Here is a 26,677-nt window from a genome sequence, read left to right as displayed (position 1 = left end):
CCTGCTGAGTAGCTGGGATTACAGGTGCATGCTACCACACACGGCTAATTTTTGTATTTTTAGTAGGGGTTTTGTATTTTTAGTGGGGTTTCACCATGCTGGCAGGCTGGTCTCAAACTCCTGACCTAAAGTGACCCGCCCACCTTGGCCTCCCAAAGTGTTCGGATTACAGGCGTGAGCCACTGTGCCCGGCCAGGAATCCCTTATATTATTAACTTTCAATATAAAAAAGTTGCCTAAGGCATATATAAGTGGCAACTGTTGAACAGGCAGTGCAGTAATAGGGACAGGCTCAGGAGAGAGGTAAATGCTGTAGATAAATATCTGGGAATTAACATTTGGGTGAGAACTGACACCACTGCAGTGAATACCTTCATCCAGGAAGAAATACAGAAGTTTTACAAAAGAATCTTGAGGTATCTCAATATTTAAAGGGGCCAGTGGTAGGAGCTCGGGAGCAGGTGCTGGCAGTCAGTCGGAACAACCTCTCCCAGCCTTGCCTCATGTACAAGACAGTATCTGGAGTCAATGGTTCCTCAGTGATCTTAGATCATGTTAAGTTTCCCAGGTATGCTGAGATTGGCCACTTGATCTTACCAGATGGCATGAAGAGAAATTTTAAAATATGTGTATTTAAAGGGGATCAAGAAAGAAAGACCAGTGAAGAAAACAGAAAGAAGTCAAGAAAGGAAAAAATGGTGCCATTTGGAGAATGCTTTAGAGAATGGTTAAGAGTCAAAGCCATTGAATGGCTAAATTAAGACTATGAAAAACAATCAGACGCAGTAGCTGATGCCTGTAATCCCAGCACTTTGGGAGGCCAAAGCAGGTGGATGGCTTGACCTCAGCAGTTTGAGACCAGCCTGGGCAACATGGTGAAATCCCATCTCTACAAAAAAATACAAAAATTAACCAGGCATGCTGGCTTGCTCCTGTAGTCCCAGCTACTTGGGGGGACTGAGCTGAAAGGATCACTTGAGCCCAGGAAGCGGAGGTGGCAGTGAGCTGAGATTGAGCCATGGCACCTGGGCAAGAGTGAGACACTGTTTTAAAGAAAAAAAAAAAAAGACTATGAAAAGGGTCACAGAAATTAATTTCGCATTGATGACTAAAATGAGAGTGGTAGAGGGGGAGGGAACAGACACTGAAGACTGAGGAGTGAAGGTAAGTTTAAAAAACACTGAAAACAAAAAGTATGGGAAATACGGGTGATAAAGGGAAGAACTAAAAACTGGGCAGCAGCTATAGGGAGAGGCAACGTTGAGGGAAAGTTTTTTAGAAATGAAAATGACAAGTATATTTACAGAAAGACAGAAAGGAGCCAATGAAGAAAAAAGTCTGAAAATACATAAAAAAGAAACAATTTTTTCTGGAACAAAGCCCACAAAATTGCTAGAAGATATGGGATTGAAAAAGCACAGGTGGGCCGGGCGCGGTGGCTCTCGCCTGTAATGCCAGCACTTTGGGAGGCCAAGGCGGGCAGGTCACCTGAGGGAAGGAGTTCAAGAACAGCCTGGCCAACATAGTGAAACCCTGTCTCTACTAAAAATACAAAAATTAGCCAGGCGTGGTGGCAGGTGCCCATAATCCCAGCTACTCGGGAGGCCAAGGTAGGAGAACTGCTTGAACCCAGGAGGCAGAGGTTGCAGTGAGCCAGTATCGCACCATTGCACTCCAGCCTGGGGGATAAGAGTGAAACTTCGTCTCAAAATAATAATAATAATAATAATGAGCTGGGTGTGGTGGCACATATCCCAGCTACTTGACTTGGGAGGCTGAGGCAGGAGAATTGCTTGAATCTGGGACACGGAGGTTGCAGTGAGCTGAGATGGAACCACTGCACCCCAGCCTGGGCGACAGAGTGAGGCTCTATCTCAAAAAAAAATAAAAATAAAAAAAAAGCATAAGTGGACCTGCTGAAAATCTAATTCCAATAAATAACCAGTGCAAATATGTGGCTATAAGATTATTCATCACGATATTCTTATTTTTAAAATTTTCTTAAAATAGCAACGGGGCCGGGCGCGATGGCTCACGCCTGTAATCCCAGCACTTTGGGAGGCCGAGGCGGACAGATCACGAGGTCAGGAGATCAAGACCACCTTGGCTAACATGGTGAAACCCCATCTCTACTAAAAATACAAAAAATTAGTCGGGTATGGTGGCAGGCGTCTGTAGTCCCAGCTACTCAGGAGGCTGAGGCAGGAGAATGGCGTGAACCCGGGAGGCGGAGTTTGCCGTGAGCCAAGATCACGCCACTGCACTCCAGCCTGGGCGACAGAGCAAGACTCCATCTCAAAAAAAAAAAAAAAAAAAAAGAAAGAAAGAAAGAAAGAAAGAAAATAGCAACAGGGGCCAGGTGTGGTGGCTCAAGCCTGTAATCCCAGCACTTTGGGAGGCCAAGGAGGGTGGATCACCTGAGGTCAGGAGTTCGAGACCAGCCTGGCCAACCATGGTGAAACCCTGTCTCTACTAAAAATACAAAAATTAGCTGGGTGTGGAGGCAGGCACCTGTAATCCCAGCTACTCGGGAGGCTGAGGCAGGAGAATTGCTTGAACCCGGGAGGTGGAGGTTGCAGTGAGCCAAGATGGCACCACTGTACTCCAACGTGGGCAACAGAGCAAGACTCCGTCTCCAAAAAAAAAAAAAAAAAAATAGTGACAGGGCCCCACTATGTTATCCAAGCTGGTCTTGAACTCCTGGGCTCAAGCCATCCTCCTACCTTAGCCTCCCGAAGTGCTGGGATTACAGGCGTGAGCCACCGCACCTGGCTTCATCACAATATTCTTTTTTTTTCCTTTTGAGACAGAGTCTTGTTTTGTTGCCCAGGCTGGAGTGCAGTGGTGTGATCTCGGCTCACTGCAACCTCCACCTCCCAGGTTCAAGTGATTCTCCTGCCTCAGCCTCCTGAGTAGCTGGGATTACAGGTACGCACCATCACGTCTGGCTAATTTTTCTATTTTTAGTAGAGACGGGGTTTCACCATGTTGCTCCTGACCTCAAGATCTGTCCGCCTAAGCCTCCCAAAGTGCTAGGATTACAGGCATGAGCCACCAGGCCCGGCCTCATCACAATATTCCTTAAAATAGGTTTTTTTTTTTTTTTTAAAGGAAACTTAACAAAGGTCTAATAATTAGACCGTTTAAGTTTCATATATCCAAACAATAGGATAAGTCATTAACAACTGGGTTGTAGATGGGAATTTATTGACACTAAGAGATGTTCATCGTATTCTAATAAAAAAGAATATTACAAAGGTAATTTTTACTTACTATTTATTATTTTTTAGAGAAGTAAGGTCTCACTCTGTCCTTCTTTCTTGATCCCCTTTAATTTTTCCCTAACGCCCCTTTTCTCTTCCCAAGATCCTATCCAGGATACCATATCACATTTTGTCATCATGTCTCCTTAGCCTTTTCTGGACTGTCAGCTTCTCAGACTTCTCTTGACAGTTTTAATAAGACTCTGGTCAGATATTTTACAGAATGTCCCTCAATTTGAATTTGTCAGATGTTTTTCTCATGGTTAGACTGGAGTGATGGCTTTTCGGGAAGAATACCAAGGGCCATGCTCATCACAGCATATCAAGAGTACAGACTATCAACATGACTTATCAACTGATGATGTTAACCTGATCCCTGGCTGAGGTAGTGCTTGCCAGGATTCTCCACCTGGTTGGAGGAAGCAGTACTTCTCCCCACCCTTCCACACTGTACTCTGTGGAAACAAGTCATTAAGCTCATCATCCACCCCTAAGTGGTGGAGGAGTTAAGCTCCACCTCCTCGAGGGGAGAATCTACATAAACTGGCAGGCTGATTTTTATTTATTCATTTATAGCTAACATAACTACTATAAAAACAGACCAACTAGTTGAAGCTCAGGAATTTCAGGGGGAAAAAAAAGAAAAAAATTATTAATATCTTAGTTCTCAAAATATCTAATGAAATAAATTCAATTTATTTATTGTTGGAAAATAATTACAAACTGATTGGAAGCACCTGAGGGTTAAAGCCCTCTTACATATCTTCGTATCTTTCAGATTGACCAGCATATAGCAGAAATCACAGAATATGGAGGTTTGAATATTACAGGAGCTTCATAAATGTTTGCTGAAACCCAAACTCTAAGAGATTTTTAGATTTAGCTTGTTATTTCAAAACTAGACTGAGTAGTAACTAGTAACTGGACATTTGTCTTATTAATGTAGTAGTTACTAAGACAGCAGTTCCCTCTCATATAAGTCAAAACAGTGCTAATTTCCAAGATGCCCACTCTTCTGTTACATCACTAAAAAGAGCTGGAAAGCTTTCTTTGCACCATTTATTAGAGTAAATGCATATGCAATCTAAGAGGAAGAACAAAGCAGAACTCTTGTTGCAAAAGAAAATTAGAAAGCCTGACAGAAACAAAATGGACTATGTAGATATGAAATTGGTTAAAGGTTGGGCGCGCTGGCTCACTCGTGTGATCCCAGCACGTTGGGAGGCTGAGGTGGGAGGATCACTTGAGCTTATGAGGTCAAGATCAGCCTGGGCAACATGGTGAAACCTCGTCTCTAGAAAAATACAAAAAATAGCCACGCCTACAGTCCTAGCTACTCCGGAGGCTGAGGTGGGAGGACGGCTTGAGCCCAGGACATGGACGTTGTAGTGAGCCGATATCATGCCACTGCACTCCAGACTGGGTGACAGAGCCATGCCTTGTCTTAAAAGTAAATTAAAAGGCCAGGCGCAGTGGCTCACACCTGTAATCCCAGCACTTTGGGAGGCCAAAGCAGGAAGATCACCTGAGGTCAGGAGTTCAAGAGCAGCCTGACCAACATGGAGAAACCCCGTCTCTACTAAAAATACAAAATTAGCCGGACGTGGTGGCGCATGCCTGTAATCCCAGCTACTTGGGAGGCTGAGGCAGGAGAATTGCTTGAACCCGGGAGGCGGAGGTTGCAGTGAGCCGAGATCACGCCATTGCACTCCAGCCTGGGCAACAAGAACAAAATTCCATTTCAGAAAAAAAAAAAACCATAATTAATTAATAAACTGGTTACAAATATATCTTAATACCCCAGCCTTCTTTTTTTTGAGACAGGGTCTTCTGTCTTCTGTTGCCCAGGATGGAGTGCAGTGGTAGTGCAATCACTGCAGCCTCGACCTTGAGGGCCCAAGTGATACTCCCACCTCAGCCTCCTAAGGAGCTGGGACTACAGGCATATACCACCACACCCAGATTATTTTTAATTTTTGTAGAGATGGGGTTTCATTATGTTGTGCAGGCTGGTTTCAAACTCCTGGGCTCAAGCAATCCTCCCATCTTGGCCTCCCAAAGTGCTGAGATTACAGGCATGAGCCACTGTGCCCGGCCAGAGTCTCTTTCTAATATGCCAGAATGTGGCATTCAAGTGGTTATGAAAAGATGTTTTTCTGGATTAAAGTTGTTAGTAGAAAATACCTACAGTCCAGAAGAAATAAAAGAGGCTAACCTTAAACATATTTCTATTACAGATACAGTTTTATGGGCTTACAGGAAAACTCTCTCCTCAGCACTTAAATGGATACATCCATTTCCATAGAGGTCTTATAGAAATTACGAATTATAAGCATGTAACAAAGTTTACAATTTGACTTTCAAAAACCAAATGTTCTTAACCTAAAGTTTATGAATGAATTTGACAGCAGTTCATGAACCCTGTGAAAACTATGCAATACTTTTTTTTTTTGAGATGGAGTTTTGCTCTTGTTGCCCAGGCTGGAGTACAATGGTGCGATCTCGGCTCACCACAACCTCGACCTCCCAGGTTCAAGTGATTCTCCTGCCTCAGCCTTCCCAAGTAGCTGGGATTACAGGCATGTGCCACCATGCCCAGCTAATTTTGTATTTTTAGTAGAGATGGCGTTTCTCCATGTTGGTCAGGCTGGTCTCGAACTCCTGACCTCAGGTGATCCGCTCGCCTCGGCCTCCCAAAGTGCTGGGATTACAGGCGTGAGCCACTGCATCTGGCCACAATACTTTGTTAATATGCATGTTTTTCTGGGAAGAGTTTCTCCACTCATTCTTCCCATAAATATTTATTGAACACCTCTTATGAGCCAAGGGCTTGTTTTAGTTGCTGGACAAAACCAATAAGGAAGCTGGGCATGGTGGCTTATGCCTGTAATCCCAGCACATCGAGAAGCCAAGGAAGGAGGATCTCTTGCACTCAGGAATTCAGTCAAGACCAGCATGGGCAATATGGTGAGACCCCATCTCTCTTTTTTTCTTTCTCATTGAACTTTTTTAATAGGTCTCAAAATTCTGTGACAAATTGTGACAAATTTGGTCAAGTTGTTCCCATTAAAAAGTACTTATTTTAATAACTTAAAACTGCCACATGACATGCAAAAAAGAAAACCAAAGTGGTCTATAAAAGCATTCCTTCCTTCTGAAGGTGTTTTTTTTTTTTTGAGACGGAGTCTCGCTCTGTCACCCAGGCTGAAGTGCAGTGGCATGATCTCGGCTTATTGCAACCTCCGCCTCCCAGGTTCAAGCGATTCTCCTGCCTCAGTCTCCCGAGTAGCTGGAACTACAGGCGCATGCCACCACGCCCAGCTAATTTTTTTTTGTATTTTTAGTAGAGACAGGGTTTCACCATGTTAGCCAGGATGGTCTCCATCTCCTGACCTCGTGATCTGTCTGCCTCAGCCTCCCAAAGTGCTGGGATTACAGGCATGAGCCACCGCGCCCGGCCAGGGGGTTAGGTTTTAACATATGATTTGGCCGGGTTGCAGGGGTGGGGACATAAACATTGAGTCTACTGCAATGAGAGAAGAGCATTCTAGGCAGAGTGAACAGCAAATAAAACCCCGAGGTAGAGGGTTATTTCTGGTGTAAAGAACAAGGAAACCTGGGCACAGTGGCTCATGCCTGTAATCCCAGCACTTTTGGAGGCCGAGGTTGATGGACGACTTGAGGTCAGGAGTTCAAAACCAGTCTGACCAACATGGTGAAATCCTGTCTCTACTAACAATACAAAAATCAGCCAGGCATGGAGGTGCGCACCTGTAATACCAGCTACTTGGGAGGCTGAGGTGAGAGGATTGCTTGAACCTGGGAGGCAGAGTTTGAAGTGAGCCAAGATCGCGCCACTGCACTCCAGCCTGGGCAACAGAGTGAGACAAAGAGGCCAGTATGGTTGAAGCCAGGTGAGAAAGGGGGAGGTTGAGGCCAGATATTACAGGGTATTTATTAATAAGTCTTCTGAGGATATCAGCATTTACGGAGTGTAACAGGAAGCCACTGTAGCACTTGGCCCATAAGTGACATGATCCAACTTGCATTTTCACAGGCTTATACCAGCTGCTGTGTGGAAAATGGACTGAAGAGAGGCAAAGGAGAAAGCAGGGAGACCAGATAGGCGGCATCTACAATAACCCAAGAGAGCTAGCCTGGACCAGGGTGGTAGCAATGGAGATTGACAGAATTGGTCAGACTTTGGATATCTTTTTGAAGGTAGAATCAAGAGCATTTGCTGATGGCTTCTATGAGGGACAGAAAGGAATCAAGGATAACTCCAAGGTTTTTGATTTGAGCAAAAGAAGGAAAGAACAGAATGGCCATTTATTGAGATTGAGAAGACTGTGAGAAGAACGAACTTAAAAGGAAAGATTGGGACAGGCACTGTGGCTCATGCCTATAATCCCAGCACTTTGAGAGGCTAAGGCAGGAGGATCGCTTGAGCCCAGGAGTTCAATACCAGCCTAGGCAACATAGTGAGACCTCGTCTCTATCAAAATAAAAATAATTAGGTCGGACGCAGTAGCTCACACCTGTAATCCCAGCATTTTAGGAGGCCAAGGAGGGTGGATCTCCTGAGGTCAGGAGTTCAAGACCAGCCTGACCAACATGGTGAAACCCTGCCTCTACTAAAAATACAAAAATTAGCTGGGCATGGTGGCACATGCCTATAATCCCAGCTACTTGGGAGGCTGAAGCAGGAGAATCGCTTGAATCCAGGAGGCGGATGGTGCAGTGAGCAGAGATCGTGCCACTGCACTCCACCCTGGGTGACAGAGTGAGACTCCATCTCAAAAAAAAAAAAAAAAAAAAAAAAGAATTAGCAATATTAAATCTCAAGAATAAGGAAATCCACAGAGTCAGAAAGCAGATTAATAGTTGTCAGAGAATTGAGGGGAGGGAAGAACGGTGAATTACTGCTAACAGATATGGGGTTTCTCTTTGGGGTAATAAAAATGTTCTGGAATTAGATAGTGGAGATAGCTGTACAACCTTGTGCATACACTAAAACCCACCTTAAAATGGTGAATTTTATGGAGACAGAGGATGAAAAGCCAGTGAGAGTGAGTATGTGGTGTCACAGAAGACAAATTAAAAAAGCATTTCAAGGAGAGAATAATCAATTATGTCAAAAGCTGTTGTGAAAGCATGTTAAGAGGAGGATGAAGTGACCACTGAATTTAACAATGTGGAAAATATCTGGTGAACTTGACTAGAAAGTTTCTGTAGAGCAGTGAAATAAAAAGGCACCTGGCTTAAGAACCGTGGAGCCAGAAATTAAGACTTTTAAATTAAACTGATCACTGAATTCAAAAGGGTAACTGAGCCACTTTTACTACATGTTGCTTCAAATCTTAAAGCGTGGGCATTAAACTCTCTGTGCCTGAGTCCCCATCTGTAAGAAGGGGGTTATATCGCTACCTGTCTACCTCACAGATAAACATAATACAAGTCTTTCCTCTATAGAATATGGCCTCTAGAGGAATGATCTATATTTTATTTACCTTTCTGTCTTCCACAGCACCTGGCAAAGAGCCTTCATGTATGCTCAGTTGTTGAATTAAGGTAACATATGGGCACAACTTAAATCATAAAGCAGTACACAAATGTAAGATATCGTGAAAATCAAGTACTTCTATCTCATACGTAAAATAAAGACAATGCCCTCCACTGAAATATGTTCAAATAACAGGACACAATTTTCATAACAAAAGGTTTTCCAGAATGTCCTTCCATATATCTTGAAGGGCGAGCTACCAATGAGGAACAGGTCAAAAAGCTCACCGTTCCCTCTGGTTAAGTTATGATGATATGGTTACAGGAGATAATAAATCAGTTGATTGGAGAAAACAGGTAAGAATAGTTCTTTGAGACTGGGTGTGGTGGCTCACATCTGTAATCCCAGCACTGTGGGAGGCCGAGGCGGGGGCAGTTCACTTGAGGTCAGGAGTTCGGGACCAGCCTGACCAACATGGTGAAACCCCATCTCTACTAAAAATACAAAAATTAGCTGGGCATGGTGGCACAAGCCTGCAATCCCACCTACTCAGGGGGCTGAGGCAGGAGAATCGCTTGAACCCGGGGGGCGGAGGTTGCAGTGAGCAGAGATCCCACCACTGCACTCCAGCCTGAGCAACAGAGGGGGATTCTGTCTCAAAAAAATAGTTCTTTGAAATAAAAAAAAAAAAATCAAAAATCACAAGAGTGGGCCACTTGCTGATAAGCTCACTGTCTTCTCTGGTTAGGTTACAATGATATGGTTATAGGAGATAATAAATCAGTTGATTGGAGAAAACAGGTAAGAATAGTTATTTGAAATAAAAAAAAAAAATCACAAGAGCAGGCCACTTGCTGATAATCTTCTCCCATACGTAAAATGGAAATGCAAACCCCGTTACAGTATTTAAAGAGATTCTCTCTGAGGTTGCAATATCACAGAGTAACATGTCTTACAAAACTCACAGATGCCCAGAAGACTTCAATGATGCAATCACAAGCAATACTGATTACAGCTAAACTTATTTAACACACACACTTCTTTCAAAACATCAACACCATACCCTATGATCCAAAATAACTCTACAACTAGTAGCTGTCATAAATGAACAGAATAGAAGGTTAAGTCAGTTTTCTGGGCAACTTCTGAATAAGTCAATTATAAGAACAAAATATCGACCTGCTAATTTTTGTCTAAAAAGTTTTACTATGAGTGCTTACTTCAGCAGCACATATACCAAAATTAGAACAATACAAAGAGTATTAGCTAAATTAAGAGAAAAAGTTATACTACAAAATTGATGAATTTTTCACAAGTTTGTATACTTTAGGAGGCTAAATTCATCATCAACAATAAAGTTAACACAAACTATAAGCTAAGTGCACACAACAAATATGCACATTTATATTAGAAAACCTACTTACTTAATGAAGCCTTTGTAATTCTGTTCAGAATTACAAAAATGGTAAATTCTAGGATTATGGGTAAAGAGAAGTGTCTTTCTGCAAAATATACTCTTGACTCAAACAAAATTGGAAAGCTCAACTTTCCCTTTTCCCTTCAACCAGACGTCACCAATTCCTTCATGACCAAACTTCATTTTACAAGGCTTGAAACATGCACAGGACTAGACAGGTAACTCCTATATCAGGATAAATATATTATTTCCTCACAGGATAATTTGATAAAAGCAGTAATATTGGTTTTTATTTTCAGCCCATCTTTAAAACACCAAGAATAAAAACACTGAGGTTCTTACCAGCCACTTAATGAACAACCCCTTAGAAATGACAATTTAGGGTAAGGGTGCACCTACTAAATGTATGTAGATTGGTTGTTTAATTTGATCAGAGTGGTTCCATTACTTGTGAATTTGACAATAAACAAAAACAGCATTAAAAAAAAACTTCTTGGCCGGGCGTGGTGGCTCACGCCTGTAATCCCAGCACTTTGGGAAGCCAAGGCTGGCGGATCATGAGGTCAGGAGATCAAGACCATCCTGGCTAACATGGTGAAACCCTGTCTCTACTAAAAACACAAAAAATTAGCCAGGCGTGGTGGTGGGCACCTGTAGTCCCAGCTACTGGGAAGCTGAGGCAGGAGAATGGCATGAACCTGGGAGATGGAGGTTGCAGTGAGCTGAGATCGCACCACTGCACTCCCGCCTGGGCGACAGAGCGAGACTCCGTCTCAAAAAAAAAAAAAAAAAAGCAAAACACACTTCTTATTCTTGGAGAATAAAAACAATCCAAGTCAGCAGGCATTTGCAGGCCATATTGACATGACCATTCTTGCTGTCTCCTGTATGCTTGCCTCTGTGCTGAAAGGGGTTTCCTAATGTATCATAACAACATTTATTAGTCAGAATCTGCATAAGTATTTAAGCATATTGATTCATGCCAAGCCTTCTGGGAAACATCTTGACTCCTCCCTCTACCTCTTTAACAGACCACCTCAGTGGAAGCGGGTGGCAGCTTTATGACATTAATGTGAAGGGCCACAAACTGAAACAACTGACTCACATGTGGAAAGGGAAAAAAGGCATAACAATAGTCTTTGATTGTGAGGAAGACAGATTTCTCATTTGTACTTGAACTGCTATGTGGTATCTATTAATATGTGCAAGTAGTTTGTAACCTACAAATGGATGTCAAACATTAGGTATTGTTATTTAATAAAGGTCAGGATTTAAGGGTACAAAGCAAATGTGTCTAGGTCACATTGTTGATCTATATTTCATTTCTTCACATTAATGGTACAGTTATTTACTACAGGCAAGACACTGTGTTAAGCCCTATAAATGTGTTCACTTTTTTTTTTTTTTTAGATGGAGTCTCACCCTGTTGCTCAGGCTGGAGTGCAATGGCGCTATCTTGGCTCACTGCAACCTCCACCTCCTGGGTTCAAGTGATTCTCCTGCCTCAGCCTCCTGAGTAGCTGGGATTACAGGATTACACCCAGCTAATTTTTTGTATCTTTAATAGAGGCAGGGTTTCACCATGTTGGCCAGGCTGGTCTCGAACTCTTGACCTCAGATGATCCACCCGCCTTGGCCTCCCAAAGTGCTGTGATTACAGGCGTGGGCCACCGTGCCCAGCCAAATTGTGTTTAATTTTCATACCAACTCCAAGATAGATACTATTATCCCAATTTTCAAGTTAAGGAAACTGAGGCTCAGGACTTGCACAAGATCACATAATTATTAAGAGACAGGGCCAGGATTGAAATCTAGGCATTCCTGGAGCTCAAGTCTGTGTTTTAACACATTACACTGCCACTGATAATCTGACACGAATGTAACACTCAGATGATGTCAGTGTTGGACGGGGGCCACATTCCTTTTTATTTAAGGGTTAACTCAAAACACAAATTACATATTCACATTTGATTAATATGGTAGAACAAAGTGTGAAAATGAAGCCATAAAAAGTACACAGAACAACTAAGTTTCATGAGTGAGGAAAGAAATATTTAAAGCAAAACCTTTTTCAAAAAATTGCCCAAGCTGTTTTTGCTTTGAGCTAATTTCCATGAACAAACATATAAAATGTAGTTTTATTTTGGCATCATGATTTTCTTTTTTCCTTTTCTTTTCTTTTTTTTAAGACAAGTTCTGGCTCAGTCACCCAGGCTGGAGTGCAATGGCACAATCTCAGCTCACTGCAACCTCTGCCCCCAGCTCAAGCCATCCTCCTACCTCAGTCTCCTAAGTGGCTGGGACCACAGGCGCACATCACCATGCTCAGCTAATTCTTGCTTTTTTGTCTTTTTGTAGAGATGGGGTTTCACCACTATTGTCCAGGCTGGTCTCAAACTCGTGAGCTCAAGCAAGCCACCCACCTCAGCCTCCCAAAGTGCTGGGATTACAGGTGTGAGCCACCAGACTCAGCCAACTTTCATAACAACAATAAAAAGCAGTCTCTAGCAAGTATAGAATTTGTTCTTTTTTTTTTTTTTTTTTTTGAGACGGAGTCTCGCTCTGTCCCCCAGGCCGGAGTGCAGTGGTGCAATCTAGGCTCACTGCAAGCTCCGCCTCCTGGGTTCACGCCATTCTCCTGCCTCAGCCTCCCGAGTAGCTGGGACTACAGGCGCCCCGCCACCACGCCCGGCTAATTTTTTGTATTTTTAGTAGAGACAGGGTTTCACCATGTTAGCCAGGATGATCTCGATCTCCTGACCTCGTGATCCGCCTGCCTCGGCCTCCCAAAGTGCTAGGATTACAGGCGTGAGCCACCGTGCCCGGCCAAGTTACAGAATTTCAACATCGTGTCATCAGTAAACTATTAAAGTACTTTTAAAGTTCAGATGATAGACGTGTCTCTATACTTGAGGCCTAATAAAGGCAACTCTTGCTCTGAAATGAACACTGAATATTTCAGTCTCTTTTACCTCAACCTCAAATTTTTGCCTCTGATATCTTCAGTTTCCTTCAAAGGCAGAAATCTGGGAAGCCATCCTGACCCCTGATCCCCATCTCTAAGCATACTACATTGCTGGCTGCATTAGAACCTAAGGCACTAAAGTACAGAGTGCCATCACTCATTCTTGACCTGTATATAGTAACTAATACTTCTAAAATTAATTACTGGACAGGTCAGTCAAGACAAAATTGTTTTCTGTAGGACACCAACCAATCACTTATTTTTCTTTAACTAAAATCAAGACAAGTCTCCAAAACCAAGAGGAGCTTGGTGAAAGAACATGAAGCTGGAGGATGACAGCAATACGTACAGATTTTTTTTTTAAACAATTAAGGTAATTTTTTAGCATCTACATTTTAAATAAGTTAAATTTTGGAATAACAAACTTCATCTTATTTTCATGGTGCAAAAGCCTGAGACACTTCCTTTGTGACATGAAGAAAAACATCCAGCAAGGAGGAAAGGCTTCTGCAATAAAAATGATTACAACACATTGCAGTAACTTTTTTTTTTTTTTGAGATGGAGTCTTGCTGTGTCGCCTAGGCTGGAGTGCCATGGTGTGATCTCAGCTCACTGCAACTCCCGCCTCCTGGGTTCAAGTGATTTTCCTGTCTCAGCCTCCCGAGTAGCTGAGACTACAGGTGCCCGTCACTGTGCCCGGCTAATTTTTGTATTTTTTAGTAGAGACAGGGTTCCACCATGTTGTTCAGGCTGGTCTCTAACTCCTGACCTCAGGTGATCCAACCACCTCAGCCTCCCAAAGTGTTGGGATTACAGGAGTGAGCAAGCGTGCCTGGCCCCACACTGCAGTATCTTAAGGTAAACTTTTATGTTCAAGTAGTGACCCAACAAATGAGGATCTTGCATTGGGCCCACCAAAACTGTATTAGTGCTTTTTAGACAATATGAATGCACATTTGCAATGGATAAGCATTTAAGATAAGAGTCTCTTGGCTGGGCTCAGTGGCTCATGCCTGTAATCCCAACACCTTGGGAGGCCGAGGTGGGCGGATCACTTGAGGTCAGGAGTTCAAGACCAGCCTGGCCAACATGGCAAAACCCCATATCTAGTAAAAGTACAAAAATTATCTGGGCGTGGTGGTGCATGTCTGTAATCCCACCTACTCAGGAGGCTAAGGTGGGAGAATGGTTTGAGCCCAGGAGACAGAGGTTGCAGTGAGCCAAGATCACACCACTGCACTCCAGCCTGGGCTACAGAGCGAGACTCCAAAAAGAGTTTCTCTTTAGTTTATTTCTCAAGTGTGCCTTTCTAGCTCGTAAATTTGATAATTTATTCAACAAATACTTACCAAGTACTACTATATATCACTGTTTTAAGTGCTAATAGTGATACGTGTCTACAGCACATCTAAGAAATACAAATTCTGTAATAAAATTTTACTAAGAAATAATGGGTAAAGCTGGTCACAGTGGCTCCCATCTGTAATCCCAGCACTTTGGGAGGCCGAGGAGGGCAGATCACATGAGGCCAGGAGTTTGAGACCAGCCTGGCCAACATGGCAAAACCCCATCTCTACCAAAGATATAAAAATTAACCAGGTGTGGGCCGTGTGTGGTGGCTCATGCCTGTATTCCCAGCATTTTGGGAGGCCGAGGTGGGCGGATCACGAGGTCAGGAGATCAAGACCATCCTGGCTAACACTGTGAAACCCTGTTTCTACTAAAAATACAAAAAATTAGCCGGGCATGGTGGTGGGCACCTGTAGTCCCAGCTACTGGGAAGCTGAGGCAGGAGAATGGCATGAACCTGGGAGATGGAGGTTGCAGTGAGCTGAGATCGCACCACTGCACTCCAGCCTGGGCGACAAAGCGAGACTCCGTCTCAAAAAAAAAACCAAAAAAAAAAAAAAAAAAAAAAAAACCAAAAGAAAATTAACCACGCGTGGTGGCACACGCCTGTAATTCCAGCTACTCGGGTGGCTGAAGCATGAGAATCATTTGAACCCCGGAGATGGAGGTTGCAGTGAGCCAAGATGGCTCCACTGCACTCCAGTCTGTGACAGAGCAAGACCTTGTCTAAAAAAAAAAAAAAAAAAAAAAAAAAAAAGAAAGAAAAGAAAAGAGAAAGAAATAACGAGTGGAAACCGCGGCATTTAATATTATTCGGAAAATGTAATGCAAACTCATGTACTTGGAACAGCACTTCACGATATAATTCTACTACTTTCGACAAAACACATAATTTCAGCACCTTTTCCACTATTATAAAGAGAAGTGCAAAAAATACACAATAAATAGATAAAAATTGTGACAAGGGTAGATGACATAAAAAAAGGTAAGCCAAACAGAAATATGTTATGTCATTAAATTCGTATTGCCAATTTAGGTGCCAATTAGGTTGTGGTATGCCTGTGTGTCTGTGAACAAAATACTCTTATTTCATTGGCCTACTAGGCCAGTTCTTCCATAAGTGCATTAAAAGAATGAAAAAGTTGAATCTCAAATGATTTCACCATTTAGTTATAAACAAACTAGGACTAAATTTTCAAATCTGCTAACTAAAATGACTCTTCAACACTTAACATCTGTCTTATCTTGAGCTTACAGAGCCAAATTTCTAAAACTTAGGTCTGAATCAAAAATGAAAAATCAAGAAAACCCAAAAGGTAAGTACAAAAGGGCCTACCAAACAGTAAGCAATGACAAGTGATTAAAGCAAAAAGATCAAGTTGCTAAGTTATAAGGAAGTCGCTGTTCATCTGGACCTTAGCCCAGAACACAAAAATTTGGAGAAAAGGCTGGTGGTTTAAAGGAGACAGGGTTCTAAATTTGCTGCCTCATTCTTTTATCTGCAAAAGCTTCCTGATACTGCCTGTTTCTACTGAAATGGCCATAACCACACTGAAAAAATCCAACAGGGCTCCAAAGCTCTCAGACAGGTGAAAATTCACTGCTAGAAAAACACGTAGAGAATAATACATTTAAGGTTAAGATCAGAAATTTTTTCTTTAGAACCCAAGATTCTGCCAAAGGAGACAACGAAGCATTAAAAAAAAATGATCAAAATCCTTTAACATAACTAAATAGAGAGCAAAATTATCTCTACTCTCCCGAATTTACGGCCCTGCCTTTGACAAAAGGCATTTTTTTTCCCTTCAAAGACTCCGTTCCTTTGAGAACTACCACCTGCCCATGGTGGTTTTTTTTTCCCCCCTTAAGAAGGCATCTGCACTGCAGATTTCTGCATAAGGGGAGCTTGCCAGGCAGCTCTTACCAGCAGGCAGACGCGTATACAATGCAAACTAAAGGAGGTCTGCAGCTTCGTTCTTAGTCTTTCACAGAGATGGGAGAAGGGGACTCAACCAGCCCTTGCTTTGTCTGAATGTTCTCCCCCTCCCCCTTTCTGCAATAAACACCCCCCTTTGTTATACTTCGATCAATAGTAGCCCACAGAAAACATGAAATCAAAACATGTTGATAGCTTAGCATGACTCTATTTTCTAGAATATAAGCGACTGATTGCGTGTCCCCACCCCCACGCAGCGCCAGGGAAGAGCAGGCTGTTGCAGATGCAGCCACGGATCCATCTTGGACCATTAGCAGCTCCCTCCCAAATCTTCCCTGAGCTATTCTCATCACGCCTCCTTCTACCTCGGAGCCTCAGAAAAATCCGGCATTCATGGAGTCTAGCCGAAAACAGTAAAAACAAAACAAACAAACAAAAAAAACAGGCTACAATGCTTCCATTAAACTTCCTCATCCTTCCCATGGGCAGCCAAAAATATTTTGGAGGACTATCATGAATGCTTGATTATGTCAACACCTGTCTGCAAACCTGCAATGCAACCCTTTCACCACCATCCCCTCAAAAATAGTAACAAATTGTTTCTCCCACCACCCACCTGCCCGTATCCTTTCAATCTCTCTAATCCTCACTAAATCACCCAGGTTCACCATATGCATCGAGCAACTCTCCATTTTATCCCACGAGCTGGTATTTTTCCCCACCTGCCCAGTCTTGGCGTTAACGCCCACTGGACTATCTCCCCGCCCCCAACCTGTTTTCCTCACACCCCGCTATTTCCTCACCGCCTGCACAACCTTACGTTCCCCTTCCCCTTTGCCCATTTTCCAAACGCTCGTCCCCGGGGGGCTGAAGCCGTCAGTAGTCGAGGGTAATTCGTCCTCCTCCCGCCTCGCCTCCTAATCCCCCCAGCCCCCAGGCTCCCGCTCGCCCTCTTTCCCAGGGCGGGGGCTCCCCGCGCGCCTTACCCGCACAGGAGGAGCTGCAGCTCTTCGTCCCCAGGGCGGGGCAGGCTCCTGGGCTCCCGCCGCCGCCGGGCGCGGACGGCTCGGCTCCGAAGGACGACGAGGAGATGGAATGGGACTGAGTGGCCGCCGACGGCTCCGCCATGGCTACGCGAGCGAGGGTGGGAGAAGGGTGAAAAGAGATACGGGGCGGGAGAGAGGGAGGGGAAATAGAATAATCCGGCAACTGGCTCGCTCAAGTCCCTTTACTCCGCCTGCTCCGAGGACAGACTCCGACAGACTGACTGACTCAGCCGAGCGCAGCTAGAGGGCGGGAGCGCGAGCGCGCATGCGCACAAAGGGCCCCAAGCGGGTGCCAAAGCGCGCAGCGGCGCAGGGCGCAGGCGCAAGAACCGCTCCTCTGCGCTCTTGCAGGGAAGGAGGGGCAAAGCCGGCCTCACGCGGCGCCTCGCGCGCCGAGGGTTGGGGAGCGTCCCTTGGGGACCAGACGCAAAAGGCGTATCCAAGCCCCAATCCCCGCCCACGACTGCGGCTAATCGTGGAGCTGCGGGATAGTATTCCCTCCTGCCTCTTTATGTGAATGTTTTAGGGTCGGCAGATTATGTATTTTAACGGTAGAAATGTCTTTGGGCTTCCATTATGGAAACTCTCTTTCCCGTACATTCCAGAGCCTATATCTTTTGTTTGATGCATTCCCACCTGTGACTCCAATAAAAACTGAAAACCAGAGTGTAGAGTAGGCCCACTCTGCAAGGTGCTTTGTGAATCTCACTGGCTGTGTCGTAATATCTCCTCACCGAGAGGCAGAGATGGCACGGCCCCCCATTTGGTAGGTGGAGAAAGATGCTATACAGAATGAAAAACGATTACTCATTCCAATCACATTGCAATGCAGTCGCAGAACCTGCTTCGTATTCTTATCTCGTTACTGTTGCCAGAGAAGGGTCCACCTTGGGTCTTAAGGTTCTCTTTTCCTCCGAATAGACTGTCAGATAGAGACGACATATTTTAGAGAGGGAAAAAAAATGCTGAGCTGATGAAGAAGAGCCAGGAGATAAGAAAATGTTGGCTGTGATTATGGGGGATGATAAAATTAGATATTAAAAATTCAGAATAAGGCCGCAGTCAGTGGCAGAGGCCCGTAGTCTCTGCTACGGCAGAGAAGGGAGGATCACTTGAGCCCAGGAGTTGGAGTCCAGCCTGGGCCACACAGCGAGAACCTTCCTGCCTTAAAAAAAAAAAAAAAAGTAAAAAAAATCAGAATAAGGCACAAAATACACATAATTGAATTTTATTCATAGACTAAAAGAGGTCCTTAGCAGAACATGTATTTAAAACCAGATTTCTAGCCTATATTGGATTTTGTTCATTTTTTGCTTTTCCTGGGCTGGATTGCCAAATTCGAAGCCTTCTCCCTACATCTGGTCAAAATATTGGAAAGGTGCATAGTCTTTGTTAAAGGAGGACTGTTGGCTGGGCGCGGTGGCTCACACCTGTAATCCCAGCACTTTGGGAGGCCGAGGCAGGTGGATCATCTGATGTCAGGAGTTCAAGAACAGCCTGGCCAATGTGGTGAAACCCTGTCTCTACTAAAAATACAAAAATTAGCTGGGGGTAGTGGCGGGCGCCTGTAATCCCAACTACTCGGGAGGCTGAGGCAGGAGAATTGCTTGAACTCGGGAGGCAGAGGTTGCAGTGAGCAGAGATCTCACCATTGCACTCCAGCTTGGGTGAAAGAGCAAATCTCCGTCAAATAAAAAAAAAAAAAGGAGGACTGTATCCTGGAAATAATAAAAATCAAGGCTGTCGACTGTTACTGCTAAAGCAGCAATCGATGACCCAAAGTACAATTGCAGGATCAGCAGATCCTGTAAAGATGCAGCCTCATGAAGCGGGAGGTGGTCAGCCAAGCTGCCACTGAGGGGAAAGGCGATCTGACCAGTGGAAATCTTCTAGAACAAGCTGTGTACTACATCTGCCCTTGAGTTTTTAAGGTCAGGTAAAGCCCCAGGGGGTGGGAGGATGACTCCTGGCCTTTGCAATGCTCTGAAAAAGGCATAGAAAAATATTTCCCAAAATAACTTTGTGGCTAATACCTTACCCTGGCACTTACTGCATCAGCTGATAATGCAGCAAACTGTCTCTTGGATGGCAAAGGGAAATAATAGCAGATCGGATAACCAAGCCAGTTATCTACCCATTCTGATACGTGCATATGTTTTTTTAAAAATCGCATTATTAGGGGAGCTGTTTTCTTCTTCCTTCCTTCTTTCTTGTCTATTAAACGCTCTGCTCCTTAAAACAAAACAAACAAACAAAAATCTACATTATTAAGTGCTAGATAAGGAAATAAATGATGCTGGTAGCTAACTCTGACAGCACTTGCTACAATCTGGAGACTCCAGCTGGAAGGAAGTCCATTTTCCTAATATGTAGCAGCAGAGAAGTTAAAAAGCAAGATATGCACGTGGTCTTACTGGTCTTTTCAGACCCTTCAGACATTTTTTTTTTTGAGATGGAGTCTTGCTCTATTGCCCAGGCTGGAGTGCAGTAGTGCCATCTTGGCTCACTGCAACCTCCGCCTCCCGGGTTCAAGCAGTTCTGGTTCAGCCTCCTGAGTAGCTGGGATTACAGGCACATGCCTCCATGTCCGGCTAATTTTTGTATTTTTAGTAGAGGCGGGGTTTCACCATGTTGGCCAGGGTGGTCTTGAACTCCTGACCTCGGGTGATCCTCCTGCCTCAGTTTCCCACACCTGGGATTATAGGCGTGAGCCACTGTGCCCGGCCAGTTCTATGAATGTGTATTGATCATGTGCTGTGTGTATAACACAATTCTGGGAACTTTGAAGAGACCTCCAAAATATGTTAGTCTTGTCTTCAATGAGCTTACAAGCTAGTTAGGACAAAAAACATACTCACATAAAGTTAAATAATATAAATTAAATAGCAACTAAAAACAACCCCAAACACCATAAAACCATAGTGCTTTGATTAGATGGCAAGTAAATTAAATGAATTTAAAAGAGAGGGGCCAGGCGCAGTGGCTCACGCCTGTAATCCCAGCACTTTGGGAGGGCAAGGTAGGCGGATCACCTGAGGTCAAAAGTTTGAGACTAGTCTGGCCAACATGGAGAAACCCCATCTCTACTGAAAATACAAAATTACCCAGGCATAGTGGTGTGTACCTGTAATCCCAGCTACTCGGGAGGCTGAGGCACGAGAATCACCTGAGCCTGGGAGGCAGAGGTTGCAATGAGCCAAGATCATGCCACTGCACTCCAGCCTGGGCAACACAGTGAGACTCCACCTCAAACAAAAACAAAAACAAAAACAAAAACAACGAGGGGAAGGAATTACCATGAAGTTGTAGTGGCTTAGGGAGGTTTTTTTTTTTTTTCTGTCACCCAGGCTGGAGTGCAGTGGTGCGATCTCGGCTCACTGCAACCTCTGCCTCCCAGGTTTAAGTGATTCTCCTGCCTCAGCCTCCCGAGTAGCTGGGACTACAGGTGCGTGCCACCGTGCCTGGCTAATTTTTTGTATTTTTAGTAGAGACGGGGTTTCACTGTGTTAGCCAGGATGGTCTCGATGTCCTGACCTCGTGATCTGCCTGCCTCGGCCTCCCAAAGTGCTGGGATTACAGGCGTGAGCCACTGCGCCCAGCCAGGAGGTTTTGTGAAGATGCTCAAAGTTAGATAGGTGTTTGGAATTGTAAGGAAGTCATTAAAAGCAGAAAAGGATGGTATGAAGCAAATACAGGGGTTGCTTTTGTGAATGTATACAAAAAAAGTACTCTTCTGGGCAGATGAATCACAAAAAAGAACCTCTTTCTCCCAGCCCCACCCATGATACAGTTCCATGCTGATTTGGCTAGCAGAACCTCACCTAGATTTGATCCCCTCTTGCCCCTTGTCTCCACAAGCTGCCTTGGTGTAACACTCAGACTGTACAGCCATATGTGGTGGCTAAAGGCTCAGACGTGAGCGTGTATAAGGTGTCTTGGGTGTTGGTTAGACCAAATTGGCTGGAGCTGAAGGCTTGAATTAGGACAGGAGGGAAGATATAGGGATAACATCTAAAATGAGGAAGATATGTTGGGGCCAGTTTTTGGAGAAGCAGTAGTATTGAACCAAAGAACTGAGGCTTTGTCTTAAGAATAATGGGGATTGAGTGGAAGTTTTTGGTGGGAAATGGCTCAGCTGGGATTTTTTTTTTCCTTTTTTTTGTCCAAGATGGGATTTTTTTTTTTTTTGAGATGGAGTCTCACTCTGTCACCCAGGCTGGAGTGCAGTGGCATGATCTCAGCTGACTGCACCCTCCACCTCCTGGGTTCAAGTGATTCTTCTGCCTCAGCTTCCCGAGTAGCTGGGACTACAGGCCCATGCCACCATGCCTGGCTAATTTTTATATTTTTAGTAGAGACGAGGTTTCACCATGTTGGCTAGGCTGGTCTTGTACTCCTGACCTCGTGATCTGCCTGCCTCAGCCTCCCAAAGTCCTGGGATTACAGGCGTGAGCCACCGCGCCCGGCCCAAGATGGAATTTTTAAAGTGCTCCCTGGCTGTCATGGTGGCTCACCTCTGTAATCCCTACACTTTGAGAGGCCAAGGCAGGAGGATGGCTTGGGCCCAAGAGTTCAAGACCAGCCTGGACAATATAGCGAGACCTCATCTTGAAAAATAAAATAACTCCAGGCGCGGTGGCTCACGCCTGTAATCCCAGCACTTTGGGAGGCCGAGGTGGGTGGATCACGAGGTCAGGAGATCGAGACCATCCTGGCTAACACAGTGAAACCCCGTCTCTACTAAAAATACAAAAAATTAGCCGGGCTTACTGGCGGGTACCTGTAGTCCCAGCTACTCAGGAGGCTGAGGCAGCAGAATGGTGTGAACCCGGGAGGTGGAGCCTGCAGTGAGCCGAGATCGCGCCACTGCGCTCCAGCCTGGGCAACAGAGCGAGACTCCATCTCAAAAAAAAAAAAAGAAAGAAAAATAAAGAGCACACTGGAGTATGGCCATTTCTCTGAAGTTCCCTTGAACACCTGAGGCGCTGTGCTAGGTCTCTTATTCTTTGGCCCTGTCTTTATAGGACTGGTATTTTTGTGTGCATGTGTGAGTACGTAGTAAGGACTGGTATTTTTTTTTTTTGAGACGGAGTTTTGCTCTTGTTGTCCAGGCTGGAGTGCAATGGTGCGATCTTGGCTCACCGCAACCTCTGCCTCCCGGATTCAAGCGATTCTCCTGCCTCAGCCTCTGGAGTAGCTGGGACTACAGGCATGTGCCACCACACCCGGCTAATTTTGTATTTTTAGTAGAGACAGGGTTTCTCCATGTTGGTCAGGCTGGTCTCGAACTCCTGACCTCAGGTGATCCACCCGCCTCGGCCTCCCAAAGTGCTGAGATTACAGGCATGAGCCACCACTCCTGGCCAGGACTGGTATCTTATACAGATAATTTCTTTATTTTCGAGACGGAGTTTTGCTCTTGTCGCCCACACTGGAGGGCAATGGCATGATCTCAGCTCACTGCAACCTCCGCCTCCTTAGTTCAAGCAATTCTCCTGCATCAGCCTCCCCACTGGCTAGGATTACAGGTGCACGCTACCAAGCCCAGCTAATTTTTATATTTTTACTAGAGATGGGGTTTCACCATGTTGGCCAGGCTGTTCTTGAACTCCTGACCTCTGGTGATTGGCCCACCTCAGCCTCCCAAAGTGCTGGGATTACAGGCTTGAGCCACTGTGCTCGGCCTATACAGATAATTTCCCAGTTTAACTTCTAAGCCATCTAATTACCCTATATTTTCTTGACTTTTAGAAAAAATTATATATTTTATTTTATTTTTAAATTTTTAAAAATTATATATTTTAAATTAAGACATTTGAAGGGCGGGCGCAGTGGCTCACACCTGTAATCCCAGCACTTTGGGAGGCCGAGGTAGCCAGACTGCCTGAGGTCAGGAGTTGGAGAACAGCCTGCCTAACATCGTGAAACCCTGTCTCTACTAAAAATACAAAAAAATTAGCCGAGCCTGGTGGCACATGCCTGTTGTCCCAGCTACTCAGAAGGCTGAGGCAGGAGACTCGCTTCAATCTGGGAAGCAAAAGTTGCAGTGAGCCAAGATTGCGCCACTGCACTCCAGCCTGGGCGACAGAGTGAAACTCTATCTCAAAAAAAAATTTGATATGTAGTCACAGATCATTCATATATACGTACACAAATATTCAGGAATATATATATTGTAAAGTTTTATCACTAACTCCCTCCACTCCTCTACACACATATAGGTAGCTACTATTAGGATTTTCTCTTTTTTTTTTTTTTGAAATGGAGTCTTGCTGTGTCGCCCAGGCTGGAGTGCAATGCTGCGATCTCAGCTCACTGCAAGCTCTGCCTCCTGGGTTCACGCCATTCTCCTGCCTCAGCCTCCCAAGTAGCTGGGACTACAGGCACCCGCCACCACGCCCAGCTAATTTTTTGTATTTTTAGTAGAGACGGGGTTTCACCGTGTTAGCCAGGATGGTCTCGATCTCCTGACCTCGTGATCTGCCTGCCTCGGCCTCCCAAAATGCTGGGATTACAGGCGTGAGCCACCGAGCCTGGCCACTATTAGGATATTCCTGTGGCAAACATAAGCAAAGGTGAATATAGCAAATCTGTATCCTCATCCCCACTGCCTTTTTTTTTTTTTTTTTAGTGGAGTCGCTCTGTCACCCAGGCTGGAATGCAGTGGTGGCATGATCTTGGCTCACTGCAACCTCTGCCTCCTGGGTTCAAGCCATACTCCTGCCTCGGCCTCCCAGGTTGCTGGGATTACAAGCATACACCACCATGCCTGGCTAATTTTTGTATTTTTAGTAGAGACAGTGTTTCACTGTGTTGGCCAGGCTGGTCTTGAACTTGTGACCTTAAGTGATCCATATGCTTCAGACTCCCAAAGTGCTGGGATTACAGGCATGAGCCACTGTGCGCTGTCCCCCGCCCCCACTTTCTTTCTTTCTTTCTTTCTTTTTTTGGAGGTAGGGTTTGCTCTGTTGCTCAGGCTGTAATGCAGTGCTACAATTATGGCTCACTGCATCCTCTACCTCCTAGGCTCAAGCAATCCTCCCACCTCAGCCTCCCAAGTAGCTGGGACCACAGGTACCCCACCATACCTGGCTAATTTATTTGTTTATTTTTGGTAGACATGGGATCTCCCTATGTTGCCCAGACCGTTTTGTTTGTTTGTTTGTTTGTGACAGAATTTTGCTCTTATTGCCCAGGCTGGATGCAATGGCAGGATCTCAGCTCGCTGCAACCACTGCCTCCCGGGTTCAAGAGATTCTCCTGCCTCAGCCTCTGGAGTAGCTGGGATTACAGGTGCCTGCCACCACTCTTGGCTAAGTTTTTGTATTTTTAGTACAGACGGGATTTCACCATGTTGGCCAGGCTGGTCTCCAACTCCTGACCTCAGGTGATCCACCTGCCTCGGCCTCCCAAAGTGTAGGGATTACAGGTGTGAGCCACTGCCCCCAGCCCCCAGACTGGTCTTGAACTCCTGGGCTCAAGAGATCCTCCCAGTTAGACCGCTGTGCTGTTGGCTGAAATACCAATAATGAAGTAGCTGACAAGGTCTTAAGCTTTCAGTATGTTACCATGTTGAGGACCTAATATTCAACTTTATAAGACCCTATCAAGTGGGGTTGGCTATTTTCTTTTTACAAATGAAGATGCCAAATCATTACCCCATTTTACACACATGCAAAATAAGGTATGGAAATTTAAATGATGCCCAGGGATGTAGTATTCCAACTTGTCCCTTCCAAGTTGCTTAAATAATGATCCTGCACATAGAGGGCAGAAAGCTGAACTGTGTCCCAGTACAGTCACAGTGAATGATATTTCCTCAGCTGTCTATCCCACAGGACTGCGAGTCTCTGGAGGATAGGAATGTGTCTTATGCAGCATTATGGCCTATCACGGTACCTGGCATATAACAAATGACCTATTTTTGGAAAGCTTTGGAACCTGAGTCATGGTGGATGCCATTGCAGAAAACAATTTTGCTATTTTTGTGTTTCATAAACCACTTGAGTATCTTGAATATTTATGACTTTATTTTGCTTTTCCAGAATGAATATGCTGATTACTAATTTTGATCACTAACCACGCAGTCATCATTTCCAAACACACAGCTCACTTAGCCTAGAACAACCGTGTGGGTCTTTAAATCATTTTGCAGATGATGAAATGGATTCAGAGAGGTTAAGTAGCTCGCCCAAGGTTGCATAGCTAGTGAACATCAGAGCCAGGTAAGTCTGACCCCAAAGCCAGTAGTCTGTCCACTCAAATATGTCTACATGTCACCTACTTCTGGAAAACCTCAAGGGAAGCTCAACCTCTGATCATAGCACATAACTCAATTCAGAGTGAGATAGCTGAAGGCAGGCTGTAACCAGTATTGTCAATATTTGGCACTTTCAATGTCCAGTGTTTTGATGACCCTGGATATTTGAGAAGGAAATAACACAAAACATGTTTCTCATTTACAGGGGTTGCTTTCTAAGTTGTGACTAATCCTTAAGTCCACCTATAATTTGTACTGTTTTGTTCCAAATGCCAAAAGCTTCTACAAGGGCTACAATGCTGATGTGCTAACATTGACCTTGATACCTTGATGATGTAATATTGAGACATATATCAGTATTTGCTGGTCACTTCCTGAGAAGTTGGATTTCAGTGAATCTCTGGGGAGCCCTTAAAATAAACTAGGGTATTTTGTTCAATAGTAAAAGTTAGGTATTTAATATTAAAGGAACCAGAAAGTGAGTGAGCAGTGTTAGATGTAACATATATCTTCTTCATCCATTAATTCAATAGATATTTGAGTCTCTATTATCTGCCAGCAGTATTTAGGGACTGGGGATATACAAGTAAACAAAACAGACAAAAATTCCTATCTGTTTGGAACTTACATTCAGTGGGAAGAGACAAACACAATGAAAGGTAAAACATAAGTCAGATAGTAGCAGGAAGTCTTTTTTTTTTTTTTTTTTTTTGAGATGGAGTCTTGCTCTTTCTCCCAGGCTGGAGTGCAGTGGTGCCATCTCCACTCAATGCAACCTCTCCTGCCTCAGCCTCCCGAGTAGCTGGGATTACAGGCGCCTGCCACCACGCCTGGTTAATTTTTTGTATTTTTAGAAGAGATGGGGTTTCACCATGTTAGCCTGGCTGGTCTTGAACTCCCGACCTCAGGTGATCCAACCACCTCAGCCTCCCAAAG

The 26,677-nt window shown here is 44.5% G+C and overlaps 1 protein-coding gene across 13 annotated transcripts in view, besides 1 other annotated feature; it reads right to left on the bottom strand.

Moving 5' to 3' along the window:
- The window catches only part of RTN3 (reticulon 3), a 78,442-nt gene extending 60,692 nt beyond the window's left edge, over nt 1-17,750 (bottom strand). For 8 of the 13 annotated variants that reach the window (NR_049750.2, NR_049751.2, NM_001265589.2 and 5 more), the window contains exon 1: nt 17,422-17,700. Coding sequence is in view for 11 of the 13 variants with exons in the window: in NM_001265589.2 (NP_001252518.1) it covers nt 17,422-17,563 (142 nt within the window). In the remaining 2 variants the exon portion in view is untranslated. Of the gene's footprint in view, nt 1-17,421 lie in introns of all 13 variants that reach the window. The other 5 variants (XM_011544730.3, NM_201429.2, XM_011544731.3 and 2 more) reach the window with 1 other exon arrangement.
- Nucleotides 17,408-17,527: a silencer, noted in NCBI's record as "silent region_3441". NCBI's record gives its function as "represses an Ori minimal core promoter by ATAC-STARR-seq in GM12878 lymphoblastoid cells {active_cell/tissue: GM12878}" and the evidence as "EXISTENCE:reporter gene assay evidence [ECO:0000049][PMID:35858748]".

Source organism: Homo sapiens, chromosome 11, assembly GCF_000001405.40.
Source record: "Homo sapiens chromosome 11, GRCh38.p14 Primary Assembly".
Lineage (NCBI taxonomy): Eukaryota > Metazoa > Chordata > Mammalia > Primates > Hominidae > Homo > Homo sapiens.
The sequence above is the reverse complement of the archived record's forward strand: the minus strand, read 5'-3'. Positions and strand labels throughout refer to the sequence as shown.